Raw genomic sequence first — 24,539 nt, forward strand, 5'->3', positions numbered from 1 at the left:
TTGCCAAAACCAGGTCTAGTTACCTAGTTACTGTCAGAGTCTGAGACTCTCTTGTCTCTTGAGCTACAATATATACATTTCTTTGGACAAACAAGAATTTACCACATGTGTGCATCATTTAGGTGATGCATAGAAAAACTTGAGAATTCTGGACTTGTCATTTTCGTCTCTCAGAGGACAATACTGCTGGCTTTTGTTGTTTTAAGAATTTGGAGTCATGTAACGTAGGTTGGGAATCAGGAGACTAATACTGACCTGATGCAGGTGCCATTGTTGCGGCACAGATGATGAGCACACCAAGGGACGTGGCAGTTCTCAATATTCTTTCCATGTCGTGCTTCATCGATGATGAAGAATTCTTTGTTGTTTACTTGAAGGTCTAGAATGCAGCCCCTGAACCCATAAACAGGACCTGCTTTCTTATGAATTTGAACATTTGCAGGAATATGGCCAAGGAACATTGATTCAAAATATGCCTGTAGAAAAAGTAACAACAAAAAATATTATAGGTTGTTGTCAGATTATGTGGAAAAGATGTAGGATGTTTGGTTCTGTAATTGGATGTGTTTTAATGTGTTTTTCTGTGTAAAAGAGGTTGCTATTGTTGGCTAGTTTTGTCACTTCTACTAGGTGGGGAGATAGACTGTTTTAGAAAATGGTCCTTTTTTACATCTCTTTTTTAGCTCTAACAATATCTAATAATATTTAGCAGAAAAATAGACACTCAGAAAAACTTGCTGATTGATTACTTTGAAATTTTTTTTGAGCTGATGTGTTTGCATTTTAGTGTAAACATTACCAAATAATAACTAAAAAAGAAAATAAAGCCATGTTAACTAATTGTTGTTAGGGGTTGAATTGTGTTCCCTCCAAATTCATATATTGAAGTTCTAACCCCTAGTACCTCAGAATGTGACTTTATTTAAAAATAGGGTCATTGCAGATGTAATTTATTAAGATGAGGTCAATACTGGAATAAGGCAAAACTATAATCCAATAGGACGTTTTGGACATTTATAAGGACTTTTATAAGGACAATAGTCTTTTTAGGACTTTTATAAAGAAGCTTGGATACAGACCGACTGGCACACAGGAATATTGCCATGTGAACAAAAAGGCGGAGATCAGGGTGATGCATCTATGGGCTAAGGAACATCAAATATTGCCAACACCTTACCAAAAATGAGTTAAGAGGCATTATCTTTCTCAAGTCATCATATGGAAAGAACCCTACAGTTCTTTAGTTTCTAGTTTCCAGAGCTGTAAGAACTGTAAGACATTTCTGTGGTTTAAGCCACCCAGTTTGTGGTACTTTGCTATGGCAACCCTGACAAACTAATGTAATCATAATATATTATAAATATCCTAAAATATGAGCAAAATGTACGGTGCTTGCAAATGGTGCTTGGAATGTTGAAAATGTTACCGTTTCCTTTCTCCCAAATTTGAACATAAATATGCATGAGAAGTAGAATTTTGCTTGGGTAATATTCACTTCCTTAATTCACCTTTTATTCCAAAATCAGATCAAGAAAAGACTCTTGCTTTGAGAAGACACAAAGAAATCACATCATCTTATTGGGATTACTGGCTAGCCATATGCAGAAGATTGAAGCTGGTCCCCTTCTTACACCATATACAAAAAGCAGCACAAGATGGATTACTTAAATGTAAAACCCAAAACTATAAAAACCCTGGAAGACAATCTAGGCAATACCATTCTGGACATAGGAAAAGGCAAAGATTTCATGACAAAGACACCAAAAGTAATTGCAACAAAAGCCAAAATTGACTAGTGGGATCTAATTAAACGTGAGAACTTCTGCACAGCAAAAGAAATTGTCAGCAGAGTAAATAGACAATCTAAATAATGGGAGAAAATTTTTGCAAACTATGCATCTTACAAAGGTCTAATATCTAGCATCTATAAGGAATGTATACAAATTTACAAGAGAAAAACAACCCCATTTGAAAGTGGGCAAAGGACATGAACAGACACTTTTCAAAAGAAGATATACATGCGGCCAAAAAGCATATGAAAAAAAGCTCAATATCACTGATCATTAGAGAAATGCAAATCAAAACCACAATGAGATACCATCTCACACCAGTCAGAAGGGTTACTATTGAAAAGTAAAAAAATAACAGACGCTGGCTAGGTTGCAGAGAAAAAGGAACACTTATACACTGTTGGTGGGAATGTAAATTAGTTTAGCCATTGTGGAAAGCAGTATGGTGATTCCTCAAAGAGCTAAAAGCAAAACTACCATTTGGCCCAGCAATCCCATTACTGGATATATACCCAAAGGAATATCAGTCATTCTACCATAAAGACACACGCACCTGAATGTTCATTTCAGCACTATTCATAATAGCAAAGATATGGAATCAACCTAAATGCCCATCAGTGACAGACTGGATAAAGAAAATGTGGTACATATACACCATGGATGGAATAATATGCAGCCATAAAAAAGAATGAGATCATGGCTTTTGTGGACACATGGATGGAGCTGGAGGCCATTATCCTCAGCAAACTAATGAAGGATCGGAAAACCAAATGCAGCATGATTCTCACTTATCAGTGGGAGCTAAATGATGGGAGCTTATGAACACAAAGAAGGAAACAACAGACACTGGGGTCTACTTGAGGGTAAAGGGTAGGAGGAGGTAGGGGAGCAGAAAAAATAACTATTGGGTGCTGGGCTTAATTCCCAGGTGATGAAATAATCTGTACAACAAAACATCATGACATGGTGTACCCATGTAACAAACCTTCACATGTGCCCCCAAACCTAAAATAAAAGTTAAAAAACAAAAAAAAGAAGTCAGACTATCTTAAAGGCAACCAAACCATTTATAGAAAATTAGTAGAATAAAGAGACTCTGTAAAATTAGGCTGTTGATCTACCTTTATTTGATCAATACAACAGGGCCACATCTTACATGGGATTTAGTTCTAAAGACGGCAAATAAGATGAATATTTCATAGAAGCTAAATTGTCTTTGGAAATCCTTTAGCCACCACATTGGAAACTAACATGCTTTCTCCAGATAATTCCAACACAGCTACATATTTCCTCCAGCTTTGGAATAGCTTGCTGTTTTTTCAGTGTAGCTGTAGATGAAGCTGGCATTTCATGTCATGTTGTATAAAAACTCTAGAACCCCCCAGTGTGTGGTGAGATGTACCACTGTCAAACTAAGAGGGAACTGATACTGAGTACAATAAATTCACTTCTCACATCTGATGTTCATTGCAGAGCTTATGTGCATTGACCAGAATGATGCTAAAATCAGTTTACATGATTTAAGTTGCTACTTGATTTCTACTTTCCCACCCTCAGCAACATATATAATTGAATTCTCATAATTTAGATGTACATAAAATGCAGACCTTCTCTGTAAGAATTTATGAGCTACAATTGAAGTCTAAATAATCTGGAAATAAGACACTGCTCTTCAGGGCTGTTAGGCATATGGCAGGTAGATGCAGCAACATTTGTGTGGGTAACATCTCTGATATCCCAATTCCCAAAACACACATTCATACCTCAAGTTGACATCTGAAAAGTATTTAAATTGGTATTACAGATACAATAAAATGGAATACTGTCATTGCCAGAATTAAAAAACTAAAGCCAAATAATTAAGTTAGGGGTCTGGTGGGAGGACAGTGTGAGAGATGCCCAGCAATATTGCTTTACATTTATACTAATACGTGCTGTTTTCATGTGGATGTACTTTTAGAGAGCAGAAACATGTTTAATTCTAGGAAGAGCAAAGCATCTCCATGACCCGTAACAGGTCAAACTAACTCTGTATTTGAGATATTGTTCTTTTTAAAAGACTGAGTCTCTGCTCCTAAGGGTGTCTTTAATTTTTTTTCCTGAGTATTTCTTCTTATTTAGGTCCCAGAGGGTGATTATCTTTGTGTATGTTATGGTGGAAGCTAAAAGTTGCAAGGTGTATCAATAGAGCTGTCACATAGCATAGGTGTATTTCTGTTTGTTTTCACATTCTACAAACTATTAGCAGATCTGTCTATTAGCTAAGATAAGTGATCCACTGTTACAAGACTCTGCATCCAAAGGATGACCTTCCTCTCACTGAGGATCTCTGACATCTTTGTATATTGATCACACACCTGGAAAAGTGAACCTTTCACTGTTTTGACAAGTGTGCTCTTTAAGCACAAAACTGGTAGAGAATGGAAGAATACCCTCCTTTTCTGTCAGCAGTAGGAAGGTATGAAGGAAAGTCTATAGAGCTATCAATGATTTATTAGACCATTAAAAAACACCCAAACAATGGAAATAGATGGCTCCTGTATTTCTTCTGATGTGAGGCTCATGCTTAGTTGGAGTCCTGAAATGTCTAAAAAAGCAGATGTTGTTGGCTGCACACAGATTACCATTAAAATGGTCGACTTCCATTCCCAGACTTTCAATTATCCAAGAGACGACTTTTGTGTGTATAATTATTCCTAAGGAGACAGGTCTTTAACATAAGTCTTTTCTAATAATTCCTTGTGAATCAGACTATGAAGAATAAAATCTGACATCAAGATATGATGGTACAAGATGAAAGCACAGAGAACAGACATGGACAATCAAGGAGGAATCATGAAAATAATAAAAAGTATCAGTGAAAACTGAGGGAAAAGGCCTCCATATCTGACAGGAGTGAAACGAACACTCCTTTTCCTTTAGAGTTTCTCTTTAAAGGAAGAATATAGTTATTCTTTTATGATACGTATGAATAAAATAAGAAAATAGGCAAAGGGGAAGTAAAATTTAAAATCCATCAGGCAGGGGAGAGGGTAGATAAGAAGCTGTCCTATTTATTTTTTGTTTTGTTTTAATTTAAATTTAGATGTTGGAGTACTGCATATCTTTCTGTAATGACATCCTGATTTAATGTTTACTTTTATTTTGCATTCTCAATTCTGCGTCTGAAGTTAAATGACTTGTGTTACTAAAATATGGAGAGGTGATTATAAATATACTTTTCGGTTAAGATGAATTATCAGAGCGCACTTGTCTTTAAGATTATGATGACTTACAATTGAAACAAACTGGCTTTTATTTAAGAGTCATTACCATTTTTGGTTTTTAACATTATCTGAATTGTATGGAAACAAATTTAAAATCAGAAACATTAAGTTTTGGAATAAAGGTGGATAAGAAATGTTGGATAAAGTGTTTCAGAAGGATTTATTGAAGTAACTTTTCACATGTTAAAAAAGCTTAAATTCTTAAAAATTGTTTAAGGGAAATAAGTGAAAAGGGATAAAAAATAACACCAGCAATATTTATCAAAATTCCCATTCTTTTGCAGTTAAAGGATCTCTCTCTCCCTCTCTTTATCTTACTTTTCCCTAAAGTATAATAATCTGTGAGCATATGATATCTTCTATGTTAATATATATTTTTATTTTTAGGACAGAGCCTTCACCCTGATTATCTTTGGATTCTTGGAGTCCATAGAAGTGCCTTGAAAATAGAAAGTTTTATACACTTTTTTTTACAAATGACATGAAATCCAATCCTGCTTTTCCTCAATCTCTTAGTTGTCTTTTAGGCCTCTTTCCCCGTGTTATGCTGCCTTAGAATCTCGATATTTTGCTAGATTCAGCACATGGGATGTCCTTACAAGATCCCACTCAGAATAAATGTTATATTATTATTCTAATATACCCTTCTATATTTTATATATATATATGGCATATTGCATAGGACAGTAGCTCACACAAGGTTATTTCTTTAAAAATTTGATAAATATGAGTGAAGTGATTATTGATGTTATGATCAATAATTCACAGTTAATATTTGATTCTTAAGGCTTTCTAGGCTAGGAAATTTTCTCAGAATAATATCTCCTCACCTTTTTGAAGGGACAACTAAACTTTAGAGAAGCAATCAATAAACTGAGTTGCTACTTTGTGAACACATTGATCTAGGGAAGTGTAAATAAAAAAGAAGTATGTGGGATTACTCTTGTCTATAAAGAAATTAAATATAATTTGGGGAATTAAATAATAAAAAAATTTGTTGCAAAATAATAACATATAGGTCAGCAAGATGGCAGAATAGGAAGCCCCAGACCCTCTTTCCCCTGTGGAGACACAGAAGCAACAAAAATACATGGACCAATTCCCTTTGAGAGGAATTTAGAAAACAGTTAAGAGGGTCCCACATGTCAGGTGATTGTGAAGCCAGCTGTATCAAAGCTGTAAGGAAAATTTATGGCATTCATTCATTATAGGTCCACTCCCCAACATAGCATGGCATGATGAAGAGAAAACTCCCAGCTTCCAGTTTTGCCTTGGGAAAAGAAATAGAAAACTAAAACATGTCCAGCATGCAGACTCTTTGGGGAGCTGTTTGAGTGATTGGATTTTGTCTTTTCTGATCCAGGAAAGGGTACCACATTGGGGATCACTGAGAACAAAGGTGATGGTTTGGACTAATATGCAATCATTCACCACAGTCTCTTGTCCTGGCTTGGCATGGGATCAGAGAAAATTCTCACCTTCCAGTTTCTCACTAGGGAGGTAAAGAATGAGGGCATGTGTCCAGTGTTAATGGCTTTTTGGGGGCTTCTGTCTCACTAGTTTCTGTCTCACCTGTCTCAGAATGCTGATGGGACCTGGCTTACTCTCAATATCTGGGGACTGCTGAGAAAAAAAGAGTTTTGGGAGGCTTACTTCTGCTTCAAAGGACCCAGAATACAGAAGACAGAGGCTGGTATAGCTTCATGGCCTCTCCCTCAGGAGGGAGTGGGTGAAAGAGTGGATCATGCACCCAATGTTCTGGCTTTTCAGAATGTTACAAGAGACTAATATCTATCTTGTTTGACTGAGAGTGTTAATGGGACTTGGCATACTCTAGAAGTCTGAGGGCTTCTGAGAATAAGAGAGATGGGCAGCTTGTGGCAGATCCAGAGAACCTGTAGTATCATATACAGAAAGTAAAGGGAGCAAGAGATTATGAGCTCCTGAAAGAAGAAACTGGAAAATCACTTTAATTGGGAGTCTGCAGGCACAAGTTCAGGGAAGACACATCCATAGGAAACACTGGAGAGGACCTCAGACTGACTGTTAAAGGTCTTTCCCTGTACAAAAAGCCAGTCCAAAAAGACTGGAAGAAGTGACTGTCTTATCAAATGTGTGGATTCCACCACAAAGTTAGAAAGCAAAGGAAGACAGAGGAAAGCATGGCATAATCAAAGGAACAAAATAGATCTCCAGGAGACAACCCTTTAAAAAGAGATCTATATGAATTACCTGACAAAAAATTCGAAGTAACCATTTTGAAAATGTTCAGTGAGGAGAGAAAAGTGATGCTGAACAAAGTGAAACTATCAAAAAAGAGAAAATATGAAAGAGGACCAACCAAAAATTTTGGAGCTGAAAACTGTAATGCCTGAATTTAAAAATTCATTACAGAATTTCAACGGCAGGCTTGGTCAAGCAGAAGAAAGAATCATAAAATTCAAAGACGGATCACTTGGATGTCTCAAAAGGAGAAGAGAGAAAGAAAGAAGAAAAAGCTTATTCATAGAAATAATGAATGAAAACTCCATAAATATGGGGAAGAAAATGTACACCCAGAATCAAGAAGCTGAAGTACTCCAACTGAAATGAACCTAAAAAAGTCCACTCTGAGACATACTATAGCCAAAACCAGAGAATTTTAAAAGATGCACAAAAAAGGCAACTTGTCATGTAAATGGGAGCTCCCATGAGACTATCAGTAGATTTTTTTCCACAGAAACCTTGCACATCAGAAGGGAAAGGGGTGATATATTTAAAGTGCTAAACATTTTTTAAAGGAACCTGCAAACCAAGAATACTGTATTTGCCAAAACTGTCCTCCAAGAATGAAGAAGACATAAAGACTTTCCCCATAAACAAAAACTGAGGAATTTAATCATTACATGTTCCTTACAAGAAATGCTAAAGGAAGTTTTTCCAGTTGAAATAGAAGAATACTAGACAACAACACAAAAACTTCTGAAAGTATAAAGCTGGCTAAAAATGGTAGGTATGTATACAAATATAGAATACTGTAATACTGTAATCATGGTGTGTAAATAAATTTTGGAATTTATTTATTTTCCATTTGTGCTATTATTTTATTGTTGTATTGTTATTTTTATGGTTTTTATTCTGAAATATTTTCTTTTTAAAGATTTCAACTTATTTTAGATACAAGGGGTACATGTGCAGGTTTGTTACCTGGGTATATTGCATGCTAACTTTAGGAATTTAGAAATTAAGGGCAAAAGTATAAAATAACTATAATTATAAAATATGTTAACATGTACACAATATAAAATGAGGTTATTTTTATGATTAATAACATAAAGTGTGTGTGTGGGAGCAATAAAGGAATAGAGTTTTAGTATGTGATATTGAAGTTATTATTACCTTAAAATGTAAATGTACTGCTATAGCTATAAAATATGTTGTGTAAGCTTCATGGTAACCATAAAAAATACCTATAGAAGATACAAAAAAACAAAAAATGAAATCAAGTTATGTCATTAAAAAGTCACAAAGGAAGAAAGCAAGAAAGGAAATGAGTTACAAGAAAACTTGGCCTACAAGAGATTCACTTTAGATTTAAGGATACACACAATGAGAAAGTGAAAGTATGGAAAAATATATTCCATGATCATATTGTTGGGCTTTGTGTCCCCACCCAAAATCTCATCTTAAATTGTAATCCCCTAAATCCCCATAATCCCCACATGTCAAGGGAAAGACCAGATCAAGGTAATTTCATCATGGGGATAGTTTTCCCATGCTGTTCTTGTGAAAGCGGCAGTTCGCTTGAGATCTGATGGTTTTATAAGTGTTTGGTTCTTCCTGCGTTCATTCTCCTTCCTGCCTTACAAGGCCGCAGGAAGGAGAATGTAATAATAATTACATTAACAAACTGGAAGATAACAATCACAGGATCATCTCAATAAACGCAAAATGTCATTTTACAAAATTTGAACTCTTTCATGAAAAAATACTCAGCAAATTAGGATTAGGAGGAAATTAATTCAACAGAATACATATCATACTCAATGGTGAACACCTAAAGCTTTTCCTTCAAGTTGAGGAACAAGATAAGGATGCCCACTCACTGCTTTTATTGAGCATAGTACTGGAAGTCCTGGCTGGAGCAGTTAGGCAAAAGAAAAAAAAAAGGAACAAAATGCATCCAAATAAGAAATAAAGAAGTAAAATTATTTTTTGTTCACAGATGACCTGATAATATACATAGAAAACCTTAATGATATCTCTGACATACATGCACACACACAAAAACTGTTAGAGCCAACAAATTTAGCAAAATTTCAGGATACAAAAATCAGCAAAAATTAATTACATTTCTATAGACTAACCATTAACTATCACAAATAAGAAAACAATTTTATCTATAATACATGAAAAAGGATAAAATAGCATAAGAATAAACTTAAGAGGGCAAAAAACATGTAACTTAAAACTACAAAACATTCTTGAAAGAGAAAAAAGGCACAAATAAATAAGAAAAACACTTTACATTCATGGAACATCAATAAAATGTCCATACTATCCAAAGTAATCTACAGATTCAATACAATCCATACCAAAATTCCAAAGATATTTTTACAAAAATTGAAAAAACAATGCTGGAATTTATATGGCACCAAAGGATGCCAAATAGCCAAAACATTCTTGAGAAAGAATACAAAATGGGAGAGGTTCCCACTTCCTGACTTCACAGTATATTACAGAGCTATAGTAATCAAAAGTGTATGGTGCTGGCATAAAGAAATGTATAAACCAATGAAACATAAGAGGCTGTGAAAAATCCCATGGACACATGGTCAAATGATCTTTGAAAAGGGTACCACAAATGCATGTGGAAAATAATCTTCAACAAATGGTCTTCGGAAAACTGGCTATTCACATGCAAAAGAGTGTCATTTTATAATGAGCAAGCATTTGGCATATATCTGAAAGATGTCTTGAGGTAGTAGAAAATTCAGAACTTAGCTGAGGTACAGTCACTGAAGATGTCGTTAAATGTAAAATATTCTATTCTCAACAAGTATGCCACACTGCTTTAATTTACACTATATAATTACACGGCATTAAAATTCTGATACATCAGTCTAGTGGCAAGCCTTAAGTAGGAACAGATAAATATGTTCAATCTGCTTATGCAACAATTACTCTAATGGGAGTAGGAAATAGTGCATGTTCCCAAGGATTCTCATTATTTTAAGAATGTCCCAGGAATTCCCTGTTAGTCACAAGTCAATTCTCTTCCACTAGTAACTGAGAGACGAGAGACCCTGAAAGGCCTTGAATTCCTTTTTCACTAAGGCTGTTCCTGATGGGAGAGCTTCAGCAACATCTTGGATAGCAAACCTTCTACTGACCATTATATTGACTATAATAACAAAAGAATGAAGACAAATTCACATTCTAAGGAAGACTCCAGACCACTTTCCACAATATTTTCCACACAGTAGGAAACTATTTTCAAGAAGGTAACCCCTACTCATCATCAAGAATCAATTTGTTCAGCTCTATGATAATATTTTCAATGAATCAGTAAGACAATCAATAATATGTTTTCTTTTGTTTCTTCTGAAATCCCTTTATTGTATAAGAAATTAATGGTATAATTTAAAAAGCAAGGATTTTGAAAATTGAAAAAATTAAATTGGATCTTTGTCTTACACTATACATAAAAATCTACTTAAAGTTGATTAAAGACTTAAACTTAACACCCAAACCATAAAACCCCTAGAGGAAAACATGGGGAAAATGCTTCATTAGTTTTGACAATGATTTCTTGGTTATGACACCAAAAGCACAGGCAACAAAAGCAAAAATAGACAAGTGGGACCTATGTCAAAAAAAGCTTCTGTGCAGCAAAGAAAACAATTAACAGAGTGAAAAGGAAACCTACAGAATGGGAGAAAATATTTTCAAACCATATGTTTGATAAGGAGTTAATATCCAAAACATATAAGGAATTTCTACAACTCAATAGCAATGAACAAACACACAAAGCAGACAAACAAAACCCCAGTATAACCTGATTAAAAAATAGGCAAAAGACTTGAATAGACATTTTTCCAAATAAGACATACAAATGGCCAACAGGTATGTGAAAAGATGCTCACCATCTCCAATCATCAGGGAAATGCAAATCAAAACCACAATGAGATATCACTTTATAATTGTTAAGATGGCTATTACCCAAACCAGAAAATAACAAGTCTTAGTGAGGAGGTGGAGAAGTGGAAATTTATGAGCACGGTTGGTCAGGATGTAAGATGATGTAGCCACTGTAGAAAACAGTATGGGGGTTTCTCAAAAAATTAAAAATAGAACTACCATCTGATCTAGCAATACCACTTCTGGGTATTTATCCAAAAGAACTGGAAATAGGATAAATAGGATATAGAAGAGATTATTTGCAGTTGGATGTTCATTGTAGCATTATTTGCATTATTCACATCATTCAAAAGATAGAAACAACATAAATGTCCATTAATGGATGAATGGATAAAGAAAATGTGGTATAGTATGATCTCACTTATATGTAGAATCTAAAAATGTTGAACTCATAGAAATAGAAAGTACAATGGTGATTGCAGAGGCTGGTCAGGGATGGGGATAGACAGAAAAAAGAAAAACATTGGTCAAAGGGTACAAAGTTCCAATCTGATAAGAGGAATAAATTTTGGTGATCTATTGCACAGCATGGTGACTATAGTTAATAATAACATATTTAAAAACAACTAAATGAGAGGATTTTCAATTTCTTACCACAAAGAAATGATAAATATTTGAGGTAATGGATATGCTAATTTGCTGAATTTGATCATTCCACAAAGTATACATGTATCAAAACACTACATTGTACCTGATAAATATATACTATTATTACCTGTCAATTAAATATATAATAAAAAAGGAAAACGATATATGTGTAGATATTATGGAATATTCAATTTTTTAAAAGAAAGAAATCTTTCATATGGTACAACATAGATGAACCTTGAGGACTTTATGATAAATGAAATAAGCCAGCCACAGAGTACAAATACTGTATGATTCCACTTAAATAAGGTATAGAAAGTAAACTCATAGAAGCAGAAAGTAGTCAGAGGTTGCGGGGAGAGAGAAATGAAAAGTTGCTCTTCAATGACTATAGAGTTTCAGATAAGAAGAAAAAGTTCTAGAGATCTGTTCCATAATAATGTGTATATAATTAACAGTAATTAGCAATAATGTGTATATAATTAACTGTACACATAAAATTTTGTTGCTTAGTAATAGTTGCAATAGAATAAAGGAAAACATCATAAATCACGTTCAGCACATGTATCCCAGAACTTAAAGTAAAAAAACAAAACAAAACAATAAATCAGATTAGAAATAAAAAAAAGAAAACATCATATAAAATGTTGTGAGACCACATAGTTTTGGTTAAAAGCATGGACTATCTAGCTAGAATGTCTGGGTTTGAATCCCCAAATAGCTGTGTGATCTTGGGCAGGAAACTCATCCTCGTGCTTTATTTTCCTTCTCTGTATTTGAAGATAATAATAGTATTTACTTCATATTTTTTGGTAACAATTAAATAATTTAAAATATGAAAAGTGCTTAGAACAGTGTCTGGAACATAGTATTACATATTTTAGCTATTATCAGAATTAAGAATAAATTTTTACTTTTTACTTTCAAAATTACCAGAAAAACCTCCAAATTAATACAGGTGTTTTTTCTTATCCAACCTAGAATATCACATTTGAGATTTAACCCCTTTGGTGTCAATCTGGCTTTGTTTTGGGTTTATGTACTGAAAAATACTATTTTGTACATAATGATTCTTTGAATATACTTAACAATCCCTACTAAATTATAATGAGTAGAGGCAGTGCTAGAACCTATTTTGATATTTTGTGCCAAAGTCCGTGACTCTTAAAATTAAATAGCTTCAGCTCACAAAATTTTCAGTTCTTATATCTTTATTCCACAAACCTCCATCATCCTCCTACTGTAATAATAGAGGAAAAGGCAGTAGAAAACATGCAGTAGAAAAGCCACTTAGGTGCTCTTTCTCAGACAAGATCCTGCCAGAACTTGGAGAGAAAGGGCATGTGCCATAGAGGTTGGGCCCTGAAGGCTGTAATATACCGTAACTCTGGGACTGAAGTGTGTCTGAGAGAATCTCACCACATATAGCCTCCACAAGCGTGACCAAATTGAGCTTTGGGGTTAACACAAGTTAGAAGGTAGCAGTGATTCACCCAGGCTTAGGAGCACTTGAATTGGGCTGAACTTAAGGAGGCAGAGTTATAAAAGCATGTGACAGCTCCTGTAGCGGCAGCAGGGAACAGCCACCGAGGCTTTAGAGTGCCTACATGCATTCTCTCTTTACCACCCTAAAATTATCCAGATTATTTTCCATTGAAATAATAAATTCTACTCCCCTGTGTGTGCATGTGCAACTTGCAGCATTCTGATCGGTATTTCATTTCGTCAGCCTAAAGGGCAAGGTAACTGGTTTGTCAAAGAGGCTATAAATATGTCATATTTAACATTTTCAACAACAAAAAGATATTTATTGAGCACTTACTGGATTCTATGTGTTAAAAATGTGATTCATTAATGTAGAAGTTGGTAGCATATTTTATGCTATTCATAAGAAAATACAGATCTTTCAATATAAAAAATGGGCAACTATAAGGAGTTAATAAAGATGTAGTCATACTGAATGCTTTACATTTTTCACTATGAGTCATTCATATATTTTCTACTGCTTGAATATTCCATGTCTTAAATCTAAATAAGTGGCCCTCTCGGGATCTAGAATGACTTTTTAAAACATAAAAACAATTTTATTCCTACCCTAACAACCCACTTGAACAATTTTGAGTTGGCTGCAGTAGCAAATGAAGATCAGTACAGTGCATTATAAAGGGACACAAAAGTGCTGGGAAACAGAGCCTGAGATAGAGCCTCCTTTCTTATCACTATAAAATTCTGGTCAAATAAGATACTCAGCATCCTTCAGCTGTAGAAAAGAGATAATCATTCTACCTTTTCAGGGTTCTTGCAGATATTGAATGAGATAATATTTAAGGCCATAATTTGGAAAATACAATGTGCTTATACAAATGTTAGATGTTATTATGTGCTTCTTTTGGATGCCTATATATACTCAAGAGACTATATAGAAGAAATGAAAATAAAATGAAATTTCCAATTCATTAAGGCAGTGCATAGTGGCTGCTTTAATGTCTACTAAAATTAGATCTCTAATTATACAGATTAATTCTCCATGATGATCAAATGAACTAGGAATTTTTATCATGAATGTATTGCAATAAAGTTATACTAAGAAAAATGTAACCAACCACATCATTAAAACAGAAAGAATTCAGCAAATTGCCTGGTCTCTGGAGGGATAGACATTCTCTTTTCTTTTAATTTAGACTCATTCAATGTTTCTAAGAGAAATTTTCTGGCCAATGCAAATCTGGAAGACTGGGAACGGCCTTTTTTAACAGTGCAAGTACTATCATATCCTATAAAAACACAAGTTTTTAAAAAATTGTCATATTTTGCCAATCTTTCCCCACTCTGGAGCTGTCTTTTTTTTTTTTTTTTAAAGTCAAGCACAATGTATTAAATCCAAAGTGTGAAAGGAAAATCAGTTTATTGTTAAATTTGATAAAACTTTGATAGTGACAGGCAACATTAAATATATTTAATCATCCCTAAAGCATGAGTTGAATTTTCTGGTGCTTTGTTGAGAGTTTTTACAAGGAATCTGTTCAATTAAGAAATATGATTACTGCTTAGTAACATAAAAAATACTTATCTGAAATACTGAGGGCACAATTAGTGTTTGGAACTGGATATTTGCATACCTACCTGAGAGGCATGGGAAATCTCTGTGTCTTTCTTCTGTACTGGAGGTTTTCCATCTGCAGTCATTTCAATCATACAAACAACTCCAGGGCTGCCAACAGGCGTTGTGTAGCTAAACGTAAAACAGAAGAGGCCATTATGATATGTGTTTTTGGCAAGAAAGGAGTAACTTCACACATGGATAGTAAGTACTTCTTCATTGAGAGAGGTACTTTCTGGATCACAACAATCCTGAAATATGGACCCAGCCAAGTGTGGACATTTTCAAGTAGATAAAAGATGTATTTCTTTTCTAACACTGCGTTTTATTTTCCTTCTCTCCTACTGACTTTAAAATTGGACATGGAATGCTTTCAGAAAGTTAAACCTCCCACAAAATAAAAAGAGCTTCATGTGTATAAGTAGATATTGACAAATTTTAAGTGCTAACTGTGGTTGACATATGGTCTCCCTCATGTAGGAGATTGTTGGACCAGTAACATCAATGTTAAATGATGCTAAACTCCCTAGGTAGAATTTCCCCTCCCTGGCCTACAGGGAAATTGAAATGGAATAAGAAATGAAAGGCTGCATACCCCTGAGCAGAGAGATTACACTGTGATACAGTTATCAGAACTCAGAAAGCATGCCGCTAATGTATCGGCTGGTACTGTATCTCAGAGATAAAAGCATAAGGTTAAGGGAGTTTGTAGAATGAATAGCAAAAATGGTGAATACACAACTGAAAATTTATCAGAGTTTATAGAATGATGCAATCATATGAAAAGGTACATATACTAAGGTACTTGGCATATTTTTTAAGCAGCTTATTTAGAGTTTTAAAGAAAATTCAAACAATATTACCCTGGCACCTGCCATATTGTATCAACAGTAACTTGCACTGTTATAAAGTTTATTTCGTAGGGACAATACAAATATGTTCGCTGATATTAACAGTGGCTGTTTCTGCATACTGAGAGTGTGGGTGATTTCATTTCTCATTTTTGCTTATTTGTATTTTTTAAATTTTGGACAACGATCAGACTTATTTTTTATTTTTTATTTCGATCAGACCTTCTTGTTTGCCTGGGACTGAGGAGTTTCCCAAGACATGGGACTTTTTTTTTTTTTTTTTTTTTTTTTTTTTTTTTTTTTTTTTTAGACAGAGTCTCGCTCTGTCGCCCAGGCTGGAGTGCAGTGGCGCGATCTCGGCTCACGGCAAGCTCTGCCTCCCGGGTTCATGCCATTCTCCTGTCTCAGCCTCCCGAGTAGCTGGGACTACAGGCGCCCGCCACCACGCCAGGCTAATTTTTTTTTGTATTTTTAGTAGAGATGGAAACCAGTGTGAGCCAGGATGGTCTCGATCTCCTGACCTCGTGATCCATCCCCCCTCCCAACCTCGGCCTCCCAAAGTGCTAGGATTACAGGCGTGAGCCACCGAGCCCGGCAGGACTTTTAGTTTTAAAACCAGAGAAGTTCCTGGAAGACCTGGAGAAGTTGGTCATTTTATTTTTAAAACAAAAAGTCAATTTTATTAAACAATTATTGGTTAAATAACTTAGTAATATTTTTTCTTAAAATAACTTTGTTGACTTAGTTGAATGAAAAAACAAAAAACAAACCCTAAGCTTCCTCTTTCCCTTACCCCTCTTAAAGGCGCAACTGTGGGCTGGTTCCTTCTCCTTGCCTACTAGGTAATAAGAATCTGATATGATCCTTCCAGTAAATTATTCCACGGCTGTTTTGGCTTCCACTTTAGCTTACCAAGGTCATTTCTAATTCTGATCAGGTCACTGTTAAAAATTCTTGAATTCTGGCCAGGCGCGGTGGCTCAGGCCTGTAATGCCAGCACTTTGGGAGGCCACCCTTAGGTGCTCTTTCTCAGACAAGATCCTGCCAAATTGTGTCATAAGAAACAAAAAAAACTCTATAAACAAATGAGATATTATGTCACATAAATCATTTGAGGAAAAGCCTAAGAGCATATCCCTTATGCCTCTCAAGTATTGCTGAGGCCAGCCTAGTCTAATGATTTAAAGACTTAAGGATCATATTCTGAGATAATCCGTTGACTGGCTGAGTGATCTTAGGCAAACCACTTAACCTTTCTTCCCTGAAGTGTGATTATGTACAGAAGGGAGATAATCATTCTAAGCTCATAAATGGTTAGTGAGAATCACATTATTTAATGTACATAAATCATTCAGTGCTAATATTAAAATCCAAGTTAAAGCAATTATTTGCTGACTAGACAGGGATCTCTAAGGAGATTTTTGTAAAAATAAATTACACAGTCAAGTTGAATTGTTCATCCACTTCTACTAATATTGCTCATAATGGAATTCAAAATCAAATACTCAAGTTGCGTTATTTTAAAAACTGAAACTCAATGCAACCGACTTTTTTTTTCAGTGTCCTTAACATTTTTGCACTTTAGATTTATAATTTTTAGGTATGCTTAGCAATATTGGTGGAAACATTCTGATTTGGAAAAGACAATTTATTTGTAGATTTTTAGAAGACCTGCCCAAATGGAAGTTCAGGTTATCTAAAACAAATGAAAAGGCTGCAAAAAGGTAAAAAAAGAAGAGTTCATTGCTTAATTAATTAAATCAAGTAATTTAAATAATTCATCCAGCTCTTAAACAAGAGTTATAGAATAATAGTAACACAGAAAGATATTTGCGTGAAATAGAAAAAGGGATACATGTAATTTACATTACATAATATAATTTTAATAAAAATATGCATAGGATAATACCAGAGCTACTTTTACTAATATCAACAGTGGCTATCTCTGTATCCTGGTGATATGGGAGGCAGGCAGGGAAGTGCTGGGTAGAGAAGGGCAGGGTCCCTGGCAAGGGCTCCACCCTTTGGCCTGTGCCTGAGAAACTAAATGAGAATAGGCACTCATGTTTTCATGCACAAATGTTGCATTTTCCAAGACCACTCTGGCTCACCATGTCCCCTATCCTATGCCCATATAAACCTGAGACATTAGCAGGCACACACAGAATCAGCTGATTGTCGACACCAGCAGACTAGCAGACCAGCCACGGTGGAACAATGTAGCAGAGAAAGAGAGAATAGGAGGGATGTCTGGATGCCAAGGGGAGTTTGGCTGGGGGCTGTCAGAGAAGAGTCCAGCCCCTGGGTGGCCCAACTCCAGGGGAAGACCATCTTCCCACTCCATCCCCTCTTTCAGCTCCCATCCGTCTTGCTGAGAGCCACCTCCACCACTCAATAAAACCTTGCACTCTTCCTTTGAGCCTGTGTATGATCTGATTCTTCTGGGACACTGGGCAAGAGCTCAGGATACAGAAGGCTGTCACACTGGCCCCCTGCCCTTGCAGTAAAGCAGAGGGCCCACTGAGCTGATTAACACACAAGCCATCCACAGATAGCAAAGCTAAAGGAGCACACTGTAACACATGCCCACTTGGGTTTCGGGAGTCACAGACTCCCACCCCTAGATGCTACCGCAGGGCCAAGAGCCCAAAGCACTCACCCTAGCCTCTGTACCTGCCCATCTGCATGCTACTTCTAGGGGTTTGAGCTGCAGGGTGACCAAACAGGGGAGGCACATCCCTGTCACATGTCCTGTGAGGGGAATCTGGGAACTTTCCTGCTTCAGTGGGAATGAAGATGATTTTGTGTGTGTGTATATAGAGATAGGGTCCCACTATGTTGCCCAGGCGGGTCTTGAACTCCTGGGCTTAAGTGATCCTCCTGCCTTTCCCTCCCAAAGAGCTGGGATTATAGGCATGAGCCTCTGCGCCTGGCCTGAGGATGATTTTTAAATTGTGTCTTTTGCTTATTTGTATTTTCTAAATTTTGGACACTGAACATATGTTTTTTAATCTTATCTCTTAAGACAAAAATTCAGCTTTCATTAAAAAACAAGAATTAAAGAATTTTCCAATATTTTTCTGTTGTTTCCTGGATTCCATGCCTTCCTTTCAGGTTCACCTATATACATAATAGCCAAGATTTGGAAGTAACCTAAGTGTTCATCAATAGATGAATGGATAAAGAAAATGTGGTAGATATACACAATGGAGTACTGTTCAGCCATAAAATAGAATGAGATCCTGTCATTTGCAACAACATGGATGGAACTGGAGGTCATTATGTTAAGTAAAATAAACCAGGCATAGAAAGACAAACTTTCTCACTTGTTTGTGGGAGCTAAAATTTAAAACAACTGAACTCATGAAGATAGATAGAATGGTTACCAGAGGCTGAGAAGTGTAGTAGGGGTCTGGGGGGTTGGAACGATTGTTACTGGGTACAAAAATATAGTTAGAATGAATAAGATCTACTATTTGATAGCACAATAGGGTGACTATAGTCAATAACAACTTAATTGTATGCTTTAAAATAAATAATATGATTGGATTAATTTGTAACACAAAGGATACATGCTTATGTTGATGGATACCCCATTTAAACTGATGTGATTTACACATTGTGTATCTGTGTCAAAACATCCCATATACCCCATAAATATAGACATCCACTATGGACCCACAAAACTTAAAAATTAAAAAAAAATTCCTCAAACTTTGGAAAATTTTTACCTGAATCATCTTGAATATTGCTTTTTGGTATTCTCTGAATGATATGGTTTGGCTGTGTTTCCACACAAATCCCATCTTGAATTGTAGTTCCCATAATCCCCACATGTCATGGGAGGAACCCAGTAGGAGGTAATTGAATCATGGAGGTGGTTACCTCCATGCTGTTCTTGTGATAGTGAGTCAGTTCTCATGAGATCTGATAGTTTATAAAGGGCTTTTCCCCCTCTTTGCTCTTCACTTCTCCTTCCTGCCATCACATGAAGAAGGACATGTTTGCTTCCCCTTCTGCCATAATTGTAAATTTCCTGAGGCCTCCCCAGCCATGCCGAACTGTGAGTCAATTAAACCTCTTTCCTCTATAAATTAGACAGTCTGGGACAGTCCTTTATAGCAGCATGAGAATGGACTAATACACAGAACACTGAAATCTCTACTTGTAGAACTTATGTTAGACATTTTTTGGAAGCCTGTTAAGCAGTCCTCTAAATTTCTTAATCTCGCTTTTACTCTTAAAAAAATCTTCCCTTATTTTTTTCTGTCTGACATTCTTCTTAGGTATCATTTTTTTCTTCAACTGTTTTTAGACTAGAGTTTATCCTATCTACTGAGTTTTAAATGTCTATGAATTTTTTTATTCTCAAGGTTTTGAATATATTTCTTTTTTGTGTTTTATTTCTGCCTGTTATGCTTTTATAACTTTTCCCCATATTTTAACTAATATTTTAATATACTTTCTTATAAAATGTTATTTTTATTGGAAAATATTGGAATTCAGTTTCCACTCTTTAAATAAGGAGCAATAAGTATTATCAAAGTTTGAATCACTTTTTTTTTTTAACTTTTATTTTAGGTTCAGGGGTACCTGTTGCAGTTTGTTATATAAGTAAATTGTGTGTCATGATGTATAGATTATTTCATCACCCAGGTAGTAAGCATAGTACTGTTAGGTAGTCTTTTTGACTGTCATCATCCTCCCACCCTCCACCCTCAAGTAGGCTCCAGTGTCCGTTGTTGCCTTCTTTGTGTTCCCTTTGAGCTAAGCACTTAATATTTACCTCCCACTTGTAAACGAGATTGTGTGGTATTTGGTTTTCTGATCCTGCATTAGTTCACTTAGGATAATGGCCTCCAACTCCATCCATTTTGCTGCAAAAGACATGATCTCCTTTTTTATGGTTGTGTAGTATTCCATGGTATCTATTTACCACATTTTCTTTATCCAGTCTACCACTGATATGCATTTAGGTTGATTCCATGCCTTTCCTATTGTGAATAGTGCTGTGATGAACATATGGGTGCATATGTCTTTTTGGCAGAACAATCTATATGCCTTTGGGGATGTATCCAATAATGCGATTACTGGGTCGAATGGTAATTCTGTTTTAAGTTCTTTGGGAAATTGCCAAACTTCTTTCCACAATGGCTGAACTAACTTACATTCCCTGCAGCAGTGTATAAGAGTTCCTGTTTCTCCACAACCTTGCCAGCATCTGTAATTTTTTGACTTTTTAATAATAGCCATTCTGACTAGTGTGAGATGGTATCTCCTTGTGGTTTTGATTTGCATTTCTATAATAATTAGTGATGTTGAACTTTGTTTTATATGCTTTCGGCCACAAGTATGTCTTCTTTTGAAAAGTGTCTGTTAAGTTCTGTTAAGTTCTTTGCCCACTTTTTAGTGAGGTTTTTTGTTTTTTGCTTGTTAACTTAAGTTCCTTACTGAATCTGTATATTAGATCTTTGTCAGATGCATAGTTTGAAATATTTTCTTCTATCTTACAGGTTGTCTGTTTACTCTGTTGCTAGTTTCCTTTGCTTTGCAGAAGCTCTTTAGTTTAATTAGGTCTTATTTGTCAAGTTTTGTTTCGGATGCTATTGCTTTTGGTGTCTTTGTCATGAAATCTTTGCCAGGGCCTATATTTAGAATGGTATTTCCTACATTATCTTCCAGAGTTTTTATAGTTTTGGGTTTTACATTTAAGTCTTTAATCCATCGTGAGTTGACTTTTATACATAGTGTAAGAAAGGGCTGTAGTTTCAATCTTCTGCATATGGCTAGCCAGGTATCCCTGCACCATTTATTGAATAGGGAGTCCTTTCCCATTGCTTTTTTTGTTAACTTTATTGAAGATCAGATAGTTGTAGGTGTATGGCATTACTTCTGGGCTCTCTATTCTGTTCCATTGGTCTTTGTGTCTGTTTTTTTGTACAAGTACCATGCTGTTTTGGTTACTCTAGGCTTGTAGTATAGTTTGAAGTTGGGTAACATAAAACTTCCAGCTTTGCACTTTTTGCTTTGGATTGCCGTGGTTATCCTGGCTCTTTATCGGTTCCATATGAATTTTAAAATAGTTTTTTCTAATTCTGTGAAGAATGTCATTTGTAGTTTGATAGAAATAGAATTGAATCTGTAAATTGCTTTGGGCAGTATGGCCATATTAGCAATATTGATTCTTCTTAATCATGAGCATTGGTATGATTTACCATTTGTTTGGGTCATCTCCAATTCCTTTCAGCAGTGTTTGTAATTCTCCTTGTAGGGATCTTTTACCTCACTGGTTAGCTGTATTCTTAGATATTACTCTCTCTGTGGGTCTTGTGAATAGGATTGCATTATTGATTTGGCTTTCAGCTTGGATGTTTTTGGTGTATAGAAATGCTACTGATTTTTTTATGTGGATTTTTTTTATCCTGAAACTGCTGAAATTGTTTATCAGTTCTAGAAGCAGAGACTCCTAGGAGCAGATATTTTGGGCAGAGACTATGGTGTGTTCTAGGTATAGAATCAATTGTCTGCAGAGAGAGAGAGTTTGACTTCCTCTTTTCTTACTTGGATGACTTTTATTTCTTACTCTTGCCTGATTGCTCTGGCTAAGACTTCCAGTACTATGTTGGATGAAAGTGGTAAGAGTGGACATCCTTTTCTTGTTCTAGTTCTCAAGGGGAATGCTTCCATCTGGTGCCTATTCAGTATGATGTTGGCTGTGGATTTGTTATCAATGGCTCTTATTATTTTGAAGTATGTTTCTTCAATGCCTAAATGCCTAGTTTATTGAGGGTTTTTGACATGAAATGATGTTGAATTTTATCGAAAGCCTTTTCTGCATCTATTGAGATAATCACGTGGTTTTTGTCTTTAGTTCTATATGATAAATCCCATTTATTGATTTGCATATGTTTATGCAAATATTTCATCCCAAGGATAGAGCCTACTTGGTCATGGTGGATAAGCTTTGTGATGTGCTGCTGGATTTGGTTTGCCCATATTTTGCTGAGAATTTTTGCATTGATGTTCATCGAAGATATTGGCCTGAAGTTTTCTGTTTTTGTTGCTGTGTCTCTGCTGGGTTTTGATATCAGGATGATGCTTAACTCATAGAATGAATTAAGGAGGAGTCCCTCATCCTCAACTTTTTGGAATAGTTTCAGTAGGAACAGTACCAGCTCTTATTTATATTTCTGATATAATTTGTCTGTGAATCTATTTAGTACTGGGCTATTTCTGGTTGTTAGGCTTTCTATTACTGATTCAACTTTGAAACACATTATTGGTCTGTTCAAGGATTCAATTTTTTCTTGGTCCAATCTTGTGAGATATGTGTATCCAGGAATTTATTCATTTCTTCTAGGTTTTCTAGTTTGTGTGCATAGTGGTGTTTGAAGTAGTCTCTGAGGTTTTTTGTTTTTCTGTGGGGTTGGTGGTAATGTCCCCTTTGTTATCTCTGATTGTGTTTGAGTCTTTTTTTTTTTAATTTCAATTAGCCTACCTAGCAGTCTGTCAATCTTATTTATTCTTTTAAAAAAGAAACACATAGGTTTTTTGATCTTTTGTGTGTTTTTTTACATCTCAATTTCCTTCAGTTCAGTTCTGATTTTGATTATTTCTTGTCTTCTGCTAGCTTTGTGGTTGGTTTGCTCTTATTTCTCCAGTTCCTCTAGATGTGGTGTTAAGTTGTTAATTTGAGATCTAACTTTTTGATATGGGCATTTAGCACTATAACTTTCCCTCTTATCACTGCTTTAGCTGTGCCCCAGGAATTCTTGTATGTTGTATCTTTATTCATATTATTTTCAAAGAATTTATTGATTTCTGCCTTAATTTCATTGTTTACCCAAAAGTCATTCAGGATCAGGTTGTTTAATTTCCATGTGATTGTATGATTTTCATCATTTTTCTTAGCATTGATTTCTATTTTTATTGCACTGTGGTCTAATAGTACGGTTGGTATGGTTTTGGTTGTTTAAATTTGCTGAGGATTGTTTTATGGCCAATTTTGTCATTTATTTTAGAGCAGGCACAACACACAGATGAGAAGAATGCATATTCTGTTGTTTTTGAGTGGAGATATCTGTTAGGTCCATTTGGTCAAGTGTCAAATTCAGGTCCTGAATATCTTTGTCAGTTTTCTGCTTCAGTGATCTGTCTAATACTCTCAGTGGGGTGTTTAAATCTCCCACTATTGTTGTATGGTTATCTAAAATTCTTCATAGGTCTCTAAGAACTTGCTTGATGAATCTGGGTCCTGTGATAGGTGCATATATATTTAGAATGATTAGGTCTTTTTTTCGAATTGAACCCTTTACCATTATGTAATAAGTTTATTTATCTTTTTTGATCATTATTGGCTTGAAGTCTGTTTTGTCTGAAATTAGAATAGCTACCCCTGCTGTTTTCCATTTTCTGTTTGCTTAGTAGATTTTTCCCTCTCTCTTGACTTTAAGCTTATGGGTGTCCTTGCATATGAGGTGGTTCTCTTGAATATTTGAATCTTGTTTCTTTATCCAACTTGCTACTGTATGCCCTTTAATTGAGGCATTTAGCCTGTTTACATTCAAGATTAATTTTGACATGTGCAGATTTGATCCTGTCATCATGTTGTTAGTTGATTATCATGCAGACTTGATTGTGTGGTTGCTTTATGGTGTCAATGGTCTATGTGCTTAATTGTGTTTTTGTAGTGGCTAGTAGTAGTCTTTCCTTTCCATATTTAGCACTTCCTTAAGGATTTCTTGCAATGCATGTCTGGTGGTAA

At 35.4% G+C, this 24,539-nt stretch overlaps 1 protein-coding gene and 1 long non-coding RNA gene across 6 annotated transcripts in view; one reads left to right on the top strand and one right to left on the bottom strand.

Moving 5' to 3' along the window:
• EYS (eyes shut homolog) overlaps positions 1-24,539 on the bottom strand; it is a 1,987,247-nt gene that overhangs the window by 264,148 nt on the left and 1,698,560 nt on the right. For both annotated transcript variants that reach the window (NM_001142800.2, NM_001292009.2), the window contains exons 34-35: positions 14,948-15,056; positions 256-476 (exon numbers count right to left, since the gene is read on the bottom strand). In NM_001142800.2, coding sequence (NP_001136272.1) covers positions 256-476; positions 14,948-15,056 — 330 coding nt within the window. The remainder of the gene's footprint in view (positions 1-255; positions 477-14,947; positions 15,057-24,539) is intronic.
• LOC107986608 (uncharacterized) overlaps positions 1-24,539 on the top strand; it is a 94,049-nt gene that overhangs the window by 33,623 nt on the left and 35,887 nt on the right. Inside the window, exon 3 of one of the 4 annotated variants that reach the window (XR_001744191.1) lies at positions 1,527-1,622. The exons of the other annotated variants lie outside the window; for them this stretch is intronic. This is a non-coding gene — a long non-coding RNA (uncharacterized LOC107986608). Of the gene's footprint in view, positions 1-1,526; positions 1,623-24,539 lie in introns of those variants that run through there. 4 annotated transcript variants of the gene reach the window in all.

Source organism: Homo sapiens, chromosome 6 (assembly GCF_000001405.40).
Source record: "Homo sapiens chromosome 6, GRCh38.p14 Primary Assembly".
NCBI classification, from domain to species: domain Eukaryota; kingdom Metazoa; phylum Chordata; class Mammalia; order Primates; family Hominidae; genus Homo; species Homo sapiens.